At 42.6% G+C, this 20,697-nt stretch overlaps 3 annotated features.

Annotated features, from left to right (window-relative positions):
• Positions 7,069–7,248: a silencer, noted in NCBI's record as "fragment chr5:131366011-131366190 (GRCh37/hg19 assembly coordinates)". NCBI's record gives its function as "represses an EF-1alpha promoter that drives an FKBP-Casp9 reporter gene in an ReSE screen in phorbol 12-myristate 13-acetate-treated (for megakaryocytic differentiation) K562 erythroleukemia cells {active_cell/tissue: K562(+PMA)}" and the evidence as "EXISTENCE:reporter gene assay evidence [ECO:0000049][PMID:32094911]".
• Positions 10,176–10,225: a silencer, noted in NCBI's record as "silent region_16311". NCBI's record gives its function as "represses an Ori minimal core promoter by ATAC-STARR-seq in GM12878 lymphoblastoid cells {active_cell/tissue: GM12878}" and the evidence as "EXISTENCE:reporter gene assay evidence [ECO:0000049][PMID:35858748]".
• Positions 12,524–12,724: a silencer, noted in NCBI's record as "peak5463 fragment used in MPRA reporter construct". NCBI's record gives its function as "represses an SCP1 promoter by STARR-seq MPRAs in K562 erythroleukemia cells {active_cell/tissue: K562}" and the evidence as "EXISTENCE:reporter gene assay evidence [ECO:0000049][PMID:32103011]".

Below are 20,697 nucleotides of genomic sequence, written 5' to 3'. Positions count from 1 at the left end.
TAATACTCATTTGTTCCAGCATATTTTTTGCAAAGACTTCTTTTCCTGCTGATTTGCATTGCTGACTCTTATATTTCACGGGTTCATAGATACGTGGGTGTGGGTCTTTCTCTGGGTTTTCTATTATGTTCCATTGCTCTATTTGTCTCTCCTTAAACTAATATCACATTGTCTTAAATATTCTAACTTTATAATACATCTTGGTATCTACAAGAGCAAGTTCTCCCACCTTGTTCTTTTTCTTTAAGAATGTCTTGGCTATTCTTTATCCATATTCATTTTAAACTAGCTTGTCAACTTTTCCCACCACACCCCAAAATGCTGGGACTTTGAGATTGCACTGATTCTATAAATCAATTTCAGTAGAATGACATCTTTACAATATTGAGACTTCTAGTTAACAAACACAGTATTTTCACTTTGTGTGTTTGTGTGTGTGTGTGTGTCTCCCAATAAAGTTTAAAATTTTCTTAATAGAGAACTTTTGTTATATTTATTCCTAGGAACTTGGCATTTTGGCATTATATTAAAAAAGGCAACTTCTTTTAAAATATCATGTTAATAAATGTCTTTTTCTGGTATAAAGAAATGCAATTGATTTTTATGGACTGATTTTGTATCCAGCAAACTTGCTAAACTCTCTTATCAATACTAAAATCTTATCTATAGATCCTTTTGAATTTTCTACATATACAAATGCATCACCTATGAGTAGTGACAGATTTTCTTCTATTTTTCTTAGTTTTCTATCTTTTATTTATTTTTCTTTCCTTACTACACAGACTGGGATATCTTGTAGAATGCTGAATAAAAGTAATAACATCAGGCATCCTTGTTATAGATCTCAAAGGGAAAGATTTCATCATTTTACCATTAAGCATGATGTTTCCTCTAAGTGTATTGCAGATATTCTTTATCAGACTAAGGAAGTTCCCTTGTATTCCTAGGTTTGCTAAGAGCTTTCATCATGAATGGATGTTGATTTTATCAATTGTTTTTTCCACAGATATTGAGATGATCATATGTGTTTTCTTCTTCAATCTTTTAATATGGTGAATCCCATTAAGTTATTTTCTAATGTTAAAATAATTCATATTCCAGGTAGACCCAACATGGTCATCATATGTTATTACCATTTTTTTGGTATTACTAGTTATGTGTTATACCTTTGAAGGATTTTTGTATCTATGTTTATGAGTGAGATTTAGGGGACTACATGGCCCAATTTACCTGGAACAACTCCAGTTTACACTTCTTTTTCTGCATCATTATTGATAACATTTACACTCTTAAAGTGCCTGGGTTTGGATGATAAAGTATATGGTCACGCTAGTAAGAATGGCCTGTGGTATTATATTCTCATATTATCTTTGTCCAGTTTTGGTATCACAGCAATGTTTTCTCATTCTATATTTCCGAGAACAGTTTGTATAAGATTGGAACAGTTATTTTCCTTGAATGTTTGGTAGAATTCACTGTTGAAGCCATTTGGGGGTCAAAGTTTCCTTACTGAATCCATTATTTTATAGGTTATAGAGTTATTACTGTTTTCTATTTTTTAGTCAACTTTGAGGTTATAATTTTGTAGTAATTTGTCAATTTTTTCTAAATTGTGTTAGCATAGGGTTTTTCAAAATATGTGCTCATCTTCTTAATGTCTGCAACATTAAAGGTTCTGGTATTGGTTATTAGTTCTCTCTATTATTTCATTAGAAGTTTGTTAATTGTTTTAGTCTTTTCAAAACACCAGCTTTGAGCTTTGTCAATCCTCTCTATTAAATAATAATTTTCTATTTCATTACTCTTTACTATTTATTACTTTCTTTCATCCTTTTTTTTTTTTTTTTTTTTTTGAGATAGAGTCTCAGTCTGCCACCCAGGCCGGTGAGCGGTGGCGCAATCTCAGTTCACTTCAACCTCTGCCTCCTAGGTTCAAGCTATTCTCCTGCCTCAGCCTCCCAAGTAGCTGGACTACGGGCATGTGCCACCACACCCACCTAATTTTTGTACTTTTAGTGGAAATGGGGTTTCACCATGTTGGCCAGGCTGGTCTCAAAACTCCTGACCTCAAGTGATCCGCCAGCCTCAGCCTCCCAAAGTCCTGGGATTACAGGCATGAGCCACTGCACCCAGCCTTCTTTCATACATTTTATTTGGGTTTATTTTGCTGTTCTTTGCCATATTTCTTGACATAGATCCTTAATTTTTTACTTTTCATGCTGTATTTTTTTCTAATGTATGTACTAAACCAAACATTTTTTCTGTAAAGGGTCAGATAGTAAATATATTTGTCTCGGCAGGTCTCTGTCTGAACTACTCAATTCTGCTGTTGTAGGGCAAAAGCAGCAAAGGCAGTAAATAAGCAAATAGAAGTAACTTTGTCTCAATAAAAGTTTATTTATAAAATCGGGTTGTGGGCTGGATTTTGCCACATTTTGTTCTAAACTTTGCTCAGTGTATTGCTTTAGCAACATGCCACAGACCTTGATGTTATACTTTTTTATTCAGTTTAAATGTTTCATAAAACATTTTGATTTCTTCTTTGACGCACGAGTTATTTTTGAAATGTTTCTTAATGCCTAAGTATTTAGACATTTCTAGTTTTCTTGTTTTTTTTTTCTTTTTTTTTTTCATTTGTCTGTTTTGCCACTGATTTCTATTTAGTTGCATTATGGTCAGAGAATATACTCTATATCAGTGCTATTTAAAAGAAATATAATGCAAGCCTCATATGTAATTTTAAATTTTCTGGTAGCTATATTGGGAAAGTAAAAAGAAGCAGGTGGAAATTAATTGTAATAATATATTTTATTTGACACAATATAGTATATCCAAATACTATATCATTTCAGCATGCAATGAATATAAAAAATTACTGATATTTTACATTTCTTTTTTGACAATGTCTTTAAATACAGTGTTGATACATCTTAATTAGGACTAGCCACATTTCAAGTGTTCAGCCTGTGCCTAGTGGCTACTGTATTGGACAGTGGATCTACAGATGATGTCATGGTTTGAAATTTATTAAGATTTACTTTATTGTCTAGTATAATGTCAATTTTTATAAATGTCCCATGTATAGTTGAGAAGAATCTGTATTCTTTAGTTATTGGATACAGCATTTTATCCATGTTTATTTGGTCAGGTTTTCTTTAAAAACCAAACTGTTTTTAAAGTTTGGTGTCCTTACTGGATTTTTGATATGTATATTCTGTCAGTCACAGAGTAGCATGTAAAAATCTTCCACTATGATTGTAAATGTGCCTAATTATCCTTGTAGTTCTGTCAATTTTCCTTTATATATTTTGAGGTTATACATACAAATCGTAAATTATTGTATCTTCTTGAATTGAACAATTCCTGGTCATTGAGTTTTTTGCTTCTAGAAAAGCTGTTTGCCTTAAAGTCTATTTTGTCTTATATTTCTATGGCTCCACTTACTTTCTTTTGGTAAGTGCTTGCATGGTATATCTATCTTCCTCTAGTCTTACCTCAACTTTTCTCATGTTTCAGGTGTGTCTCTTGTAAGCAACATATAATTGAGTTTTGCTTTTTAACCCAATTGTTATCTTTTACCCAAAATGTTTGTTTTTCAATCTAATGTAATTATTGTTATATTTTGGATAAATTTATCATCTTATACAGTGATTTTCATTTGTCTTTCCTGCTCTTTTTCTTTGTTTTTTTGTTTGTTTGTTTTGTTTGTTTTGGTTTGGTTTTGCTCTTTTGGATTAGTTTCTTTTTTAAATCTTTTTTACCCCTCTACTAGACTGGAAGTTATACACTGTGTTTCAATTCTTTTAGTGATTACCCTAGAAATTATAACATTCTTAACTTATCAAGGTCTAAAGTTAATTATTATTTTCCTCTTGAGAAATAGTTTGGAACATTTTAATATCATTTACCTATTTCCCAACTTATATGTTTTCATTTTTGTGTATTTTCCTGCTATATTTTAACTCCATAAGAGATTATTATTTCTGTTTTATGCAGTTTGTGTTTGCTTAGTTCTATTCCCCCCCTCCATGATTATACTTTCTCTGCTCTTCTTTCATCTCAAACATTCTATGTGGAATTACTTTCCTAACGCCTTGAGTGTATCTTTTAGAATTTCCTTTAGTCAGAACTAAATGGTTACGAAATCTCTCAGTTTTTATTTCTTGAATATAAAATTCTAGGCAGGCAGTTATTTCCTTTGGCACATTCCATAAACGATTCCCCTGCCTCCTGGCTTTATTATTGCTATTGAAAAGTCAGCTGTCAATCTAATTCCTGCTCCTTTCAAGTCAATATATTCCTTTTCTGACTTCTTTTTAAGATTGCCTATTTGTCGTTTATGATCTACAGTATACCTATAATGTGTCTTAATGTAGATTTATTATTATTTACTCTTTTTGGGTTTCAATAAGTTTCTTAAGTGTGACAGTTGATGCCTTTACATCAGTTTTGGAAAAATAAAATCTGTTTTGTCTCTAAATATTTCCTCTGTTTCATTCTTTCTGCTTCATCTGGAATCCTGATTAAATATAGGTTAGTTCTTTTTATTTGATCCCTCATATATCCTAATTTCCATTTTTTCCTTCCTTCCTTCCTTCCTTCTTCCCTCCCTCCCTCCCTCCCTCCTTCTCTCTCTTTCTTTCTTTCCTTCTTTCTTTTTCTTTCTTCTTTCTTTCTTCTTTTTCTCTTTTTTCTGTCTTTCTTTCTTCTCTCTGTGCTATAATCTGGATAATGCCCTCTTACCTGTTTTACAGTTTACTAAGTCTCTCTTCAGCTGAATCTAGTATGCTATAAACCTTTCCATTGAGTTTTTTATTTGTGTTGTGTTTTTAAAATGCTACAAGTTCTACTTTATTTTTTAATTCAAAACTGCTAGATTACTTTTTATAGTTTCCTATTTCCTTCAGATATTTTCAAGCTTCTCTTCTGTTTCTTTGAATCTTAACAAACATAGTTGTTTTATAATCTATGTCTGATAATTGAAATATCTAAAGTCTTTGTGGTTCTGTTTCTTCTGGTGCTCATTCACAGTGCTTTGTTTTCTCATATGCCTGGTTAATTTTTACTGTGCATGTTTCAAAGTCCTTGAAAAATTATTTATGGTGATAATTGAGGTCTAAGATGAAGGTGACTGCATTAGCTCCTGCCAGATTTATTTCTGTTTCATTCTTATTCTGAAAGTGCAGGCCTCTAGGGCCACAGGCTAGTGAGGAAAGTGTGCCCTATTAGACTCCCTACCTCAGGCAGGCTTGCACTTTGACTTCTGACTCCTCACTCTGTAAGACCATCAGAACTGAAGTCAAGATTTGCAGGACTGGTAAATACTCTGAGCAGAAGTGGCTTCAGAATTTTGTTTTCCCTTTTTTCTCCCCTTCAGTTTTTACTCTACCCCTAGGTTGTACTCTAGTCCTTCTTGACTATCTTATCAAGTAATTCATGCCTTTTTTCAATTCAAATAACCTAGACCAGTATATTACTGTAAATGAAGCCTTTTAGTTTATTTTTGTGACTAAATGCATTCTCCATTGCAAGCCTCTGTGATACTTGATAAATTCATCTGGGTCTTCTCCCATTTCCTGGGTTGTATTTACATTCTGGGTATTTTGGAGCCATCAGAGAAGAGAGAGGCATGGACAACAACAAACCACGTAATCATGAATCAATGAGGGCCTTCAGATGTTGGTTTTCATATGTCATTGCAAAATCTTCCCTCATTCCTCACCCAGGCTTCTTCCATCTGACCCTCTCTCAGGTCACAGACACCCCGCCATGAGGGGAAGAGGTTGGATGGCTCTGTTGCCCCTAGCCATCCTGTTGCTCCTGGGCCAAGCTGGAGGTTCACAGTAATCTCTGTGAGAGTCTCTGGCCCAGCAACCTAGATTGGCCACTGTGTGGTCTCACCCACCTCTAGCTCCACCTGAGAAGAGGGTACCCTTCCACACCGAGATCCTTTAAATCCTTCTGGCCAAGAAGGGGGAGGGACAGGACTTTTCCTAGGGACCTTCGCTTTCCCTCTGGCTGGCATCGCCCCAAATACTCCCTCCTACCAGTCTAGGGAACCTTTGTCTAGTTGGGCTAGAGGCCTAGCTCAAAATCATTTTGCATTCATTCCCTGTGTCCCAAATTCCTTAAGAGTTTGGGCTTTTGAAACTCAAAAGTTTTTTTTGTTTTGTTTTGTTTTGTTTTGTTTTTTCTGTTTCTGACCCCTCCCTGGAAGTCTCAGATACATCACATTCCATGGGAATTGGGGAAGCCTTGTGGATAACAATTTACCAGGAAATTACAACTGGGTAATATCCCCTAACATTTTCCTTTAATGTAATTGTCATCTTACGATTTTTCTTTGACTTCTTGGGAACTAAGGAAAGTTATAAGGAGCAGAGCCCAGGGACCACAAGCAACAATGAGGGGGATAGGAGTTTGGGTAGAAATCCTGTTCTCTCCTACTCTCATATTTCCTTTTTCACTCCTCCAGTGTGGGCTGTGAGCCCACTACCCAAGGAGGCTGCTTTGAAAGGAGCACTGCTTAAGGTCCTTGCTATAGTTGAAGCACATGAGGGTTCAATTTCAGTGAGTATCTACTCCAGGGATTTCACTAAATGGTTTCAGAATCCTTAACCTGTTGCAGCAGCAGCCTTATTGGTTTTTCTGGTTATCCTCCTGACAGCTCCTTCTAGACTTTGTAACTTATTCCTCTGCCTCTGTCTGACTCCAAAACAGTCTTAGAACTCTACCACTTAGACCAGGACAGCCAGCATTCCACAGCTCCATGACACCTCTAGGCCAGTGTCTCCCCTGGGTTGTGCCCGACCTCCAGCTTACCACATTCTAAGCTGGATCATCTTTCTCTAGTTGAGCCCTCTCTTCCCAAAGCATTTCTCACCCAGTGACTACCACCATCATCCACCCAGAAACTCAAGCCACATGGTCATCCTCACCTCCCCTGCGCCTCACCCTCACATCACCTGCTCACCTCACCTCTACCTTCAAGCACTCTCTCAATCCTGTTGGGAAGACTCTTCCTGGCCCTGTCCCCTGCCCCCAACCCCATGGCTTCTTACTCATTGTCTACTACAGGCTTCTCACTAGAATCCTGCCCTCCAGTCCTGCTCTGTCAATCTCTCTCCCACCCAGAGCCAGATGTGGTCTTCTTAAATTTAACTCCAGGCATCTCACTCCCCTGCTTCTCAAAATTCTTCAGTTTCTCTATGGCCTTGTGTCCAAGGTCATGGCCCCTTTTTCCTCCAGCCTTATCTCCCATCACTCCTGTGCCCCTGAACCCTGGGTTCACCCGGCCTGAACAACTCATGCTCCTTTCTCTCCTTCCCAGGCCTTTACGCAAGTTTTTCTTTCACTCTGGAATGCTGGCCTCCTCCTCTCCTGCCTTCGTACCACCTCTTTCTCTTCAAACCATAGCTCAGACACTGCTCCCTCCAGGAAACCTCCATGTCTGGGTCAGATAACTGCTCTGGGCTCAGATAGCACCTGTGCTTACCAGGTGGATTGTAGACTTTATCCTTCTCGTTTAATTGTCATTTGCTTATCTTTCTCATGGCACTGTGAGCACTGTGCCTTATTTCCTCTTATAATCCCAGCATCTAGTCAATGCCTAGACAGTAGTCCCATCATAAATGCTAGTTGACTAAAAGTGATTGAATATCTTCTTTTCTTCCTTCCTTCTTCTTTCTCTTCTTCCCTCCCTCTCTCCCTTTTTTCCTTCTTTTCCTTTCCTTTCCTTTCCCTTTTTCCTTTTCCTTTCCTTTTCCCTTTTCCTTTGCTTTGCCCATTTTTCCATTGAGGCCTCAAGAGTTTTTCTTAGAAGAGCTTCTCACATATTAAGGTGAGAAATGTTTTGTCATATTTGTGGAAAATATTTTCTCCAGCCTGATACTTACTTGTTAATATAATTCATGATGATTTTCACACATAAAAGTGAAATTTATATGAGCACATCTACTAGCCTTTTGGCCTTTCTCTGGTTTCTTTTGGGAGGATATTGAGTAAGAGGGAGTATGAGGGAAACCTCTGGAGTACTGAAAATGTTCTAGATCCTGATTGAGTGTTGCTTACACAAGTATATACGCATATGCAAAAATTCACTGAGTTGTACACGTATCTATCTATATTATTATATATAAGACATACCTAGGCCAGGTGCAGTGGCTAACACCTGTAATCCTAGCCCTTTGGGAGGCCAAGGTGGGTGGCTTGTTTGAGCCCAGGAGTTCAAGACCAGCCTGGGCAACATAGTGAAACCCTGTCTCTACAAAAAAATATAAAAAATTAGCCAGGTGTTGTGGTGTATGCCTGTAGTCCCAGCTACTCAGGAAACTGAGGCAGGAGAATCACTTAAACCCAGGAGGCAGAGGTTGCAATGAGTCGAGATCATGCCTCTGCACTCCAGCCTGGGTGACAGAATGAAACTGCATCTCAGAAAAAAAAAAAAAAAAGTAAAGTTCATTCTTTCTTGTTGCTGAGTAGTATTTCATTGTATGGCTATACCTCAATTTGTTTATCCATTTTTCTGTTGGTGGAAATTTGGGATGTTTCCAATTTAGGGCCGCTACACCTAAAGCTGCAATCATTCATGAACAGGCATTCATTATATGGACACATACATTGATTTCTCCTGGATAAATTCTTTCATTGATTTTTATTTAGAAACTCTTCTACCATTCAATGAGAGGATAAGTATTTAAACTTTTCTTCTAGTTGTTGGGCTTTTTTTTTTTAATTTAGCTTTTAATCAAGCTGGAATTAATTTTGTTGTGATTAAGCATGAGGCAGGGATCTCAACCAGCTTTTGTTTTGTTTGTTTTGTTCCTAAAAAGCCATTTTCCCCATCACTATTAGTGAAGAATTGATCCTTTCCCCCATTGATTTGTATTCTGTAACTCACCCCTCTTCAAATGTAATTATAGCAATAGGAACATTACAGGAATTGCTCTGACCCACACACGTCCATGCCCCTCCACCATCCCTCAATTATTTCTGAGTGTCCCCAGAGCAGTATCCATGGTCACACACAACTCATACTGATGCCCACTCATGCTCAGATGTTAGAATTATTCACTCCCAGGTACAAGTGACCACTGATCATTGGCAGGAGATTTTAGCAGAGCCTGTCCCATTCATGTAGTGATAAAGGTGTTGGCAGAGTGGGCAGCCTGGAGTGAGCCACAGTGAACAGGGCAAAGCAGCTGGCCAACTGTTTAGCCAGAACTTCTTCCCGCTGTACTCTGCTGAATGAGGCTAGAAAGAAAGCTTGGTTGTAGATGATAGGAGCCTTGAATGGCAGGCCAAGGGCTTTAGTTTACAGATGCCTGCTCTGCCCACAATCCTGCACTGAGTGCTGAGTACACAGAGGTGGCTCATCTTTAGGCCCTACCCTTGAAGCTTAACAACAAGTAAAGAGACAGCTATGGTTCATTAATTCCACTAATATTTATTGACCGCCTCCTAGTTGCCAGACACTGTTCTAAGTGCTTAAGATGTATAAGTAAAGAAAACAGCCAAAGATCCCTGTCCTTGTAAAGTTCAGCAAGGAGAAAGAGAGACAATACTAATACTACATGTGATTTTAGTAAGAAAATGTATGGGATGTTAGAAGCTGATAAATGCTTTGGAAAAAAGTAGAGCAGAATAAGGGAACCAAAGATACTTGAAAGAAGAAGAAGGAGGGATAGCAATGTTAAATAAAGTAGTCAAGGCAGCACTTGGGGAGATCATTTGCAGCCTCATTGGGAACTACACTGTTGGCCAGGCATGGCAACTCATGCCTGTAGTCCCAGCACTTTGGGAGGCTGAGGCGGGCGGATCACTTTGAGCTCAGGAGTTCAAGATCAGCCTGGGCAACATGGTGAAACCCTGTCTCTACAAAAAATACAAAAATTAGCCGGGTGTAGTGGCACATGCCTGTGGTCCCAGCTACTCGGGAGGCTGAGGCTGGAGAATTGCTTGGACCCGGGAGGGGGAGGTTGCAGACAGCCGAGATTGCACCACTGCACTCCAGCCTGGGCTACAGAGTGAGACCCTATTTCAAAAAAAAAAAAAGAAAAGAAAGAGAACTACACTGTCCAGGGCCTTTGAGAGCATAGAGGGGTGCCCTCCCTGATGGCAGGGAGTTTATGGAGGGCTTCCAGGAGGAGTGTCCCATGAGTGAAGACAGTGGGGAAAGGTATTCAGGCAGAGGAAGCAGCATGAAAAGTGAAAGAGAGAGTGGCTCTGCAGAAAGCCACAGGCCAATCATGGCTTCAGGAGGGCAGGGCTGTGTGCATGAGGCATGTCCAGCCTGGGTTGTGGAGAGCTTGGGTGAAGATCACAGTCCAGGGATGTTGGTCCACAGATGGCCCCCAGTACCTACATCTGTACCCTTGGCCACGGGTTCAGTGGGGTTCCCCAGAGCCCGAAGGGTGCTCATCATACCTGTGGTGAGTGCAGGTCTACCCAGAGCTATCCTGTCCATCCAGGGCCAGAGCTGACCCTCCCCAAGACATCCAACTGGCTGCCACTGAATGTGTCCCCTGAATCACAGAGTGCCCACCTTGGGAAGGGCTGGGGTGGGGGTGGGGGAGCGTGGGCTGACGTCACATGCCTGGCCCTGTCTCTAAAGTAGTCTGGCTGACTCTCAGCCAAGACCAGCCTTGTGGGGCAGTCACTGAGACTGTGACTATGGCTTCTGATCTCAGAAGAAGGCAGGAAACTGTGGCCAAGGCGCCAATGACAACATTTGCTCATCAAATGGGAGAAAGGAAGCGTGTGCCAGGAAATGTGTACAGCAGCCCCACCGCCCCCAGCCCAGACCTGAGTAGCCTTGGTCCAGCAGAGTCCCAGGTCTGACCTGAGGCCTGCCATGGCCCACTTTGTCCCAGATGGTATCACCCACCCCATAGTGGTCAGGGTGGTCACTATGGCATCAGGAACTCCAGACCCCAGCAGATGTGGAATGTATGACCAAAGGCCTCAGGATGACTTGAGATCTCCCCACACACACCCTGCCCCAGGGCCTCTCTGAGTTGGGGCTTCCCATGCCTGCAGCCACAGAGGTTTCTCAGGCCCCTTTTCTCTGATGCTTTTTCCATAGAACATCTGGGAACTGGTGTGAACTACTCTCTGGAGCCACAGTCTCTGAAAGCCTCACAGATTCTCCCCTGAACCCTCTGCATCTGCACCTCTATTCTGCCCAGAGGCCTGGAGGAAAACTCTGGCTTCCAGTGCAGTGGGGCAGAAAGTCCCACACCAGCGAGGCCACAACCACCTTCTGCTTCTATGATGGCCACGAACATTGCTGGAATTCACATTCTGTCCAAATGCAATGCTAGGACCTAGGACATAGTAAGGAACAGGGCTGGGCCTGCCAACAAGGAGTTACCAAGGGAGGGAGAGAGACAGACAATTAAAAAGTGAACACATGCACACACAAGGTAATGTCCCATAGTGATAAGTGGTATTCATCCATCAAGGGACTGCGACAGAGTTTGGGTGGGCGCCATGAGATTGGGCCACAGGCCAGGCCTCCCTGAGGAGAGGACATCTGAACTCAGACCTGAATGGCATAGGAAGAACTTGGGTGCAGTGGAACAGGGACAGAGCCTGCGGTGGGAGTGACCAGGGAGTTTCCGAGGAAGAGGAGGCCAGTATGAGTGGGTGGGGGCCATGGAGAGGATAAGCCAGAAAGGTAGACAGGGCTGGATCGCTCGTGGCTTTGTGGACCTGATAAGTACTCTGGATTCTCTTCCAAGTTGGAGAGTTTCAGGCAGGCTAGTGACATGATCTCATTTAGGTTTTTCAAAGATGAGCCTGGCTGCTGTGGTGGAGTGGGAAGCAGGGAGACAAGAGTAGGAGTGGGGTGACCAGTGAGGCACCTGCCATGGCAGGGCAGGTAGCTGGGGGCAGCTGCAGAGCAGCCAGTCACCCATGGACTCTGCATTTGTCGTTAAAACAGAGCTGGAAGGAGCTGCTGACAGGTGGGCGGGATGTGAGGTATGAGAAGATAGAGGCAAGGGTGAACTGGAGGATTGCAGTTGGACTGCATAGACTCCAGTGACTGAAAAGCCCAGAGGTGGTACAGGTTCTGGCATGGCTGGCTCAGCGCTTCTCCATCAGTTGGTTTGTCCTCTGTCTGGCATCCCTCAATAAGGCAAAATGGCTGCACTGGTTCCAGTCCTGACATCCACCAGCAGAAGTTTCTGCTGTCAAGCCATTAAACAAAAGTCCTGAACTTTTGTTTAATTTAGACGACCAATCACTTTGGCAATGATGCAGGGTTCTACCAGTTGCTTTCACACTAGGAGTATCTGCGTACCAGAGCAGGAAGTGTGGGAAGGATGCCAGGAAAGCGCATCTGCACCGATGTCCATAGGGCTGTAGTTCACTGGAGAGACCACTTGATATCCGGTGTGAGTTACCAAGAGGAAAGGTGGATATAGGAGTCTGAAGCTCCAGAGAGAGCTCAGGGTGGGAAATAAGAATTTAGTTGTCATTGGCAGGTAGACAGTACTTGCACCTGTGAGGCTGGGAGAGGGGACCGAGAAGCATGTGTAAATTGTGCTCTGAGGACTCAGCCCCAGAGCATTCCAGCACTTAGAGGCAGGACAGCTCCTGAGGAGAAGCAGCAAAGGAGAGAACAAAGGAGCATCTGGAGAGGTGGCAGGAAAGCCTGGGGTGTGTGCTGTCATGGAAGCAAGAGAAGAAAACACTCAGGAAGCTGTTTCCCTGCAGCTGAGTGGAAGGCTGCCCGGCAAAAAAGCAAGATGAGAACAAAGACGTGGACCCTGGATTTGGCAACATGGTGGTGTTAGTGACCTTGACAAGTCACGTCTTGGAGGACAGGCCATGAGGTGGAGAAGTAGGAATAGTGAGTGTAGATGGCTCCATCAGGGAATTTTGCTGTGAATGGAAGAGAAAAGGTGCGATATTTGGCGGTAAAAATGGACTCAAGTAAGAGTCTATCATGGCTGGAGCTAGTGCCCATGTGGTTCACAGCTGTGGTCCAAAAGGAACATCCAGGCCACAGGACAGTCATTTTCTTCTCTGTTCTGTGTTGAACTTGGACTCAGAGCAGCCCTGGGCTAGGAGCCCCTGTGCCCTATGCCTCCAAACCCCTTGGAGTCTTTCTGTCAGAGCACACAGCCCACCCTGCTATAACTACCCATGCCCACCTCTTCTCAGCAGCCCAGGCTGGTCCCGGGCTGGGGACAATGGAGTGGAAGATTAAGCCCCATTCACGGGGGCATCAGCACAGACGGAAAACCCAGGGCACTGACAAAAGTGATTGATAGGAAGTTGGGGGCATGGGCATCAGAGAGTTGGGGCTGGACAGGAATGGAAATAAAAGGATGAGGGAGAGTAGAGGCCCAATGGCCAGCATGGCAGGGAGAGTGGCACGAGTGCTGGACCATCCTGAGGCTGTGTTGTATGGGATGTGTGTGGGTAAAAGTCATGGAAGGGGAGAGCTGGGACACAGAGGTGATGGCCTGGAAGAAGAGAGCAGGAACAGGATCCTAAAGTTCTGGGCCATCCTTGGAGGCTGATGGTGCCTGGGCTGGGAGAAGCCCCATAAGCTGGTGCCAAGTCATCACGTGTGTCATGATAAAGTTTGGAAGCATTCATCTCCTTCTGAGCTGTGTCATTTCTTCACTCATGCCACCGAACTCCAGCCCAGTGGCCCATCCACACCTGGGAAAGAAGCCACATGATTAGCTGCACAGATCAGGGCAAGATCTATCCATGGCTGACTTAGGAGCCACATGAAACCCCAAAGACTATCAGCACTCCATTTTAGGGAGGATCACCATAACCAGCTCTAGAAGATAGAGCAGGGCTGGACTGGGGGTCAAACAAGGAGCTGGAGCACAGGGAGTAAGTAGATGATCTGTGACTGCTGCTGTCCTGCCCATCTGCCAAACCCACCTTAGTGTGGTCCATGAGAAGAAACAACCCCTACCGAGGACTTCCAGGAGCAGCATCCTGGGCCAGATCAGGGCAGGAGGTGAAGGGAGGGTCTGTGAAAACTTCCAGGACATTCGGGATTTTCCTGCTCTAGAGTCCAGAGGACACAGGAAGGCCATATGGGAGCAGAGGCTGGGATGGAGGTTGCTGAAGGGGAATGGGGTGAGGGGCCAATGACCTGAGGAGTGGAGATTACAGGGGTCAGACTATTGCCAGGGGTTTACAGGATACCCCTGAGGGTGAGCAGAGGTCAGAAAATGGGACCTCAGGCATCTCGGAAAGGGCTTGGACTGGGCTGGGTGGATTGTCATGGGTGTGGTGGGTCTACAATACCTCAGGATGTGGGAAAAAAATCTTGGCCACCCATTACCTGGGTACTAGAAGGAACCAAAAGTGACACATTTGATGAATAAAAAGAAAACAAGCGGTCAAATAATTACTGACCAATTCTGAAGGCTAATTTCCAAAAAGTCAGCAGAGGCTCAGAAAAAAAAACAATCAAAAAGGCTAGGTTAGGAAGGACTGAGTCAAGCCAGTGGGCAACCTGTCTGTCCCAGCTGCTCAAGGGAAGCCTGGGCCTCAGCCATGCCTGGGGATGAGATGACACTGACTCATGGGAAAGACGCTGTAATCAGGATCAATATGATTTTGTGGGGGAGGTTGTTTGAGAAAGACCTGCAAGATGTTCCTTTGCCTGAACTTTCTTTCCTCCCACCTCTCATCCTGTGTTATCTGGATCCCACACCCACCTCTGCTGCTGAGATGTCCCTTCCCCAGAGCCCCCTCACCTCCATTCCCAGAGCAGCCAACTCCTGAGCCCCATCCAGCCTGTCTTCTCTGCAGCGGTGGGAAATGCATTTAGAGAAAAACAAACCCTCTGATTTTGAAAACCTGATTATTACGTATGTCTTAATTTGCATTCCTTTTTAAAAATATAACTTCATTTTTCTTTCTGACTATAAATGTGATATATGTTCATTATAGAAAGTTTGGAGAACTCAGAAAAGCACCAAAAAGAGTACAAAAACCACCCTCGATCCAGCTCAGAGGTCATTATTTACTTCTGACACATCAGTCTGTGTCTTTCCTGCCTCCCTTCCAATCACATCTTCTTTTTGTTAATTGGAGCCATACCTTCCATTCCAGTTTATAAATTTCATAATGGAATGTAGGCTCCATGAGAACAGGGGTTTTATCTTCTTTGTTCACTGCTGTTTCCTAGTACATAGTAGGTACTCAATAAATATTTGTTGGAAGAATGGATTTTGTAACCCATTTTAATTTAATGCAGTGCAGCCATCTTCTGGCATTATTTCCCATTCTCATATGCCATTATTTTTACTGGCTACATAGTATTTGTCCTATGGGTATGCAATAATTTATTTCTCTAATCCACCATTGTTAGATATTAAAGTTGCTTCAAACGTGTTATATTATCAGTAACATCGTGGTGAACATCTTCATATATAGCTATTTTTTGTACATATTTCCTTAAGATAAATTCCTAGAGGGGGACTTGCTGGGTTTACCATGTTTACTAAAATTTTCTACGTATTTTGCCAAATTGCCTTCCCTCCCCAAAAGGGTGATTTAAACCCCTGTCCTTAACCCTTTCCAATAGAATCTATTATCATGCTTTAAACTCTGATAACTGACAGGAAAGATGTACATTATTTTTATTTTTATTGGCTTTTTCTTTGATTACTTTTGGGATTGACAGATATTTACTAGTGATTTGTATTTTTTATTTTCTGAATTGCTTAGTCAGCTTCTTTTGGGGTGTGTTTTTCCTAATTGATTTATAAAGAGCTCCTCATATAATACATATTTTCGAGTTGAAATTTTTTTAATTTTATATGGTTTTTTTTTTAATATTTGGGCTTTCTAATCAATTGATCTATCCATTTTCGTACTTGTATCACAGATTTTATTTTTGTGTTATACATTGTACTTACTTAATATGGTATTTTAATGCTTAGTATTATTCTCCTTTCACAAATGTTTCTTGGCAAGCATTGTACATGTACAATTTTCAAATGATATTTAGATTCACATTGTTAAGTTTAAAAATGAGATTACATTAAATATAAACATAAGTTTGGGAAGAATTAACATCTTCATAACATTTAGTATTTTAATCCAAGAAAATAGTTTACCTCTTCGTGCATTTGTGTCCTTCTATAAAGTTTTATATTGCTCTTCATCTAGGTCCTGCACACATCTTAAGTGTATTCCCAGTTATTTTCTATTTTTTGTTGCTTTTTGAATGAAACATTTTTCCTGTTATTTTTCTGTTTCTTTTCATATGCAATAAATATTCAACCACCTCATAAATACTCCTCTTATGTACAAAGCTTTTTAATTGCTTCCGTTGAAGTTTCTGCCCTCCAGGCACTCACTTTAGGTCTTTTCTCGTTCTCTCTTCCATCCACATATAGACGCAGAGCTAAATTTGAGTAATCCAAAGCGGAAGTACAAAGCAGTGTGGGCTGCTGTCCTCAGAGGAGTGCGATCTTCCCCCAGTGAGCTCATTGATGCTTATCTTGGAAAGAGGAGTCTTGTATGGAGGCATAGACTTGTCCAGGTTGAGTCAGGAGGGATACCCAGCCAGGGAACTGTGGAAATAGGTCCCCTGGTAGGAGCAAATCAGTTAGGGGAAGCAGAAAGCACATGGAGGGAGTAGTGGTTAATATGGCAGGAGGTTCAGCAGGACCAGGCCTTGGATGCTTGGGCTGGCTGGAGGACCTGGACTTTATGCTTGGGCAGGGAGGACCCACCCTTGAGGAGCATGGTGATGGGAATAGAAGAATGGCCCATGGAGGAAGAGGGGCTGAATCTGCATAGAAGGGGGCTGGCAGGAACAGAGGTGCCTGGAGGGAGGTGCAGGGTGAGTACGGACCTGTCTGCCAATGCTCCTCTTCCTTCAAGAGCCACTGTCTGCCCCTGCCCTGCTGAGGAAACCAAGGGCACAAAATGCACATGCTGACTCTGGCACAAAAAGTACTGCCCCAGGGTGAATTATTTTCTGACTCTCCACCAGAACAGGCCCTACTGGTGTTTACACCTGCTCAAGGACTTCTCTTTCATTCTGAAATTCTACAGCACAAAATTTTAGTGAATGCCTTTATTGAGTGTCTCTGGATTGCCAGAAGGCTGAGCGAGATACCATGTGCATGCTGAGTGTAGGAGGTGACGTAGTGTCAGGAAAGGGTGGCCCTGTGGGTTTCGATCTGACTTTTCACAGGTGTTTGTGGCCAAGTCACCTCCCTTACTCCTCACCTCACAGTTTCGGGGAATTCACTTTGTGAAACTGTCCTTTCTTCATTGCACACTTGGCTCAGTGTGTCTGTCCTAAGTGTCTTACATGCCATTACGTTTTCCTTGTTTGGGAGTTTTCATTGTACAGATTTCACCTTTTCTTTTTGGAAATTATTTTGAGAGAGGTTGGAGTGTAGGATGTGCTGGTATTTTGGGTGGATTCCCTGCTGTTGTGTCATCACTGAGAGCTCATGGTTGGCTCTGGTATTTCTACAAAAGCAGGAGATCTTCTGTTTCTTTCCCTCTGGGGTTTGCCCCTACACAACCACAGCAAGGCTGTAGTAGCTTCAGTGATGAGAGCAAAGGCTCCAGTTACTAAGGTTTCTGGGGTTACACTTGCAATGTTTTCCTACTATGAAACAGAGTGCCTCCTGAATTCAGTTTGCCTCTTCCCAAGAAATTAATTCTTGCGTTTCCTTTTCCACATAAGAAATTCTCTATTTCTAATTTTAATAGATTTTATTGAGAAAAGATGTTGAATTGTTGTGAATTCCTCTTTGTATGATCTTTGCCAGTTTTCCTATTAATAGGTATAATGGAAAGAACACAGGCTTGGAATTTGGATGGCTTTGGGTTCAAATCTCAGGCCAGCTGTGAGACCTTGGGCAAGCTATGTCAGCTCTCTAAGCCTCAGTTTCCTCATCTGTAAAATGAGGTGTTAGTCAGTGCAAGTGACCACAAGCACTGTAACCTACTCAAGCCAGCTAAAAGGGAATTGAGATTGATTAGTCTGTCACCAGAAGTATCTCACATGTTCCAAATGCAGGAGTGCAGCTGGGCTTCCAGGGCTGACTAGAATCAGAGTTGCAGGCACAGTGGGAAATGAGGGCCACTGAAAGGTCAGACTCCATTCAGGACTGGCTGAAAACCTCTACCTGGGCTTTGAGATGCAGCATAGTTGGTTTTGAGCCCTCTTCTAGTCTGATTTTTTGCACTGATTTCCCCACCTGTCATCTGCCCTATAGAGAATCTAGCAATGCATTCCTCTGTTTTTCATCTCTGCTTCTCTGGGCATATTTGCTTCACTTGTCATGTTTTCTGCAGATAAATACTCTCTGCAGAAAAGGACTAAAGTCCCAATTCAGAGTTCCCAGGGAAGAACTCTGATGGGTCCAGCTAGTTATTGGACCAATTAGTTATTGGTCACCTGGATGTTTCATAGGTGACCAGTGAACAGGGTCACACTTCTGTGACCAAGGCAGCTGCTATCATAAATTTATGGATGGAATGAAGGGCATAGTGAAAGCAGGCATTCTCTAAAGAAGCTGCTGCAGAGATAATCCTAGCATCCTTATATTTTAGCGTGGCTAGGGGTAGAATGTGAGTTCATCATGCAGTTGCGCTTGGATGATGCTCAACAAGTCTGTGGGTTCTGCCCCTGGCTGCTTGTTCCATATCAACCTGGCACCTTGGAGAGAGATGCTGTTTTATTTTCATGGAATTTCTATTTATATAGTTAATCCATCTGTCAAAATTTCATTTAGGATTATGGTGCGTGTATTTCTATTCAATATTGGTCTATTTTTAGTTCAAAAAATTTGATGTCACATCAAGTCTTGGAATTGTGTCTATATTTACCTCATAAATTGAACTGGATGACAAATAATGTTTTTATATAGTTTTAAATAATTTATGTGCAGGAATTATTTAAGTTTTCAACATTTTAAACATTCTCCCTAGGGAATAATGAATGGTGCATTGGGGAGGGAGTTAGAAATCCATGATTTGGTCTGGTCTTAGTCTTAATTTTCTGTGTGGCCTGGGGCAGTTTCCTGCCCCACCTTGGGCCTCTGTGGAATTAGGGAGGACAGGACAGCTGGCTCCGATGGCTTCTCAGACCCCCGCCCTGCTGGCCTTTCTGGGTGGTCTGCCACTGGTTCTTGGGGTTGTTTCTATCGTCAGGCCCCTTCTGCACCTTTCTGGTGCCCTCCAGCAGATTTCTAGTGACTTTTTTCTCCACCTTCCTGTTACTCTCCTGGACCTGAGGGTGTCCTCCCAAAGGACAGGTTTTGTTTTCCATGGGTCTGGGTGCAAATGGGCAGGGTCCAGTGTCTTAGGTGTTGAAGTCTTGGTTCCCTGTAATAAGCTCTGTGAGCAGGACACATTCTGCCTGCCTCCAGAGAATGCACCATCCTCTTCTGGAAATTCTCTTTTTTGACTTCCTGGCACCTGGCCGCCTCCTGGAGTTCCTCCTTCCACCACCTCTAAAAGCCTCTGACTCTTCCCTCTTCTCTCCCTCTGTACTGTCTTCCCAGGCTTAAAGGAGCTACCCTGAAAGTCCTCATGGCCACCTCCAGCCCTGTTCTCTCTCTCTCTCCAGCCCCAGCTCACTGTGGTTTTCTAACGGCCGCAAGAGAAAGGGGGACCTGGGGCAGGTGCCAAAAGACTGCAGGGTCAGAAGGTGACAGGTCCCGGGAGGAGGAACTCTCTGCTCGTACCCTGCTCTCAGGCAATGTGGGAGGGGGCGTCACTCTGATTTCCCTAATTATCTTCCCATGACCTGCTTCCCCTTCTCCAGCACCCCAGCCCTCACTGAACCAAGAGACACCGGAAATGGCTTCTTCTTATAATAGATTTTTCCTTGTTACAAAAATGTTTATTCATTGTAGAAAATTTGGAAAATACAGATAAATTTAAAGAAGAAAAAAGCCTTATTATCTCATCACTCACTGATAACTACTATTAACCTTTCTTCTATTTTTTCCGTGAATATATAACTGCTTCTAAACATCATTTGAATAATGCTGACTATACTGTTTTATAACCTGCATTTTTCAATTGGCCGCATGCCATGAACATCTCTCTGTGTCATTGTGCAGTCTCCTGCATCATCGTTTTTGTGGGTAGCAAAGCATATGCCATCCTATAGATATCCAAAAATGTTTCCAACCTTGTGATTGGGCATTAGGGTAGCTTCCAACTTGGCACTACCGTAAATAATATTGCAATGACAATCCTTTTGAACAAATAATTCCTGATTCCCACCCCCCTCACCACATACACACACTTTGTATTAATTCCTGAGCAACCCACCATTGATAGTCCAAAGGTAAGAATTTTTTGAGGTTTATATTACTCCTTACCAAACACCCCCACCCCCCAGAAAGGGCTCTCAGGATGTCAGACCCTCAGATACACAGTTTCTTAACATCTCTATCCTGCTTTTATTGTTTAAAATCATCTGGCCTGGTTGGTGGGCTTGAGTTGCTTAGGTGGCCACTGGGGAAAAGGGTCTGGATTCTTAGTGAAGAGAAAAGTGATTGGGGTGGGTGAGGGGGTTCCAGATGGATGAGATGGGGCTTATGGAATGCTGGTCATCTCTCCTATCACAGGGATCAGCACCCTGCGATGCCACCATAGTCTCTGGAGGAGGGAGACAAAACATACAGGCAACAGCTTCACATTTCGCCTGGGTGGGCAGTTCGGCTG

Source organism: Homo sapiens, chromosome 5 (assembly GCF_000001405.40).
Source record: "Homo sapiens chromosome 5, GRCh38.p14 Primary Assembly".
Lineage (NCBI taxonomy): Eukaryota > Metazoa > Chordata > Mammalia > Primates > Hominidae > Homo > Homo sapiens.
The sequence above is the reverse complement of the archived record's forward strand: the minus strand, read 5'-3'. Positions and strand labels throughout refer to the sequence as shown.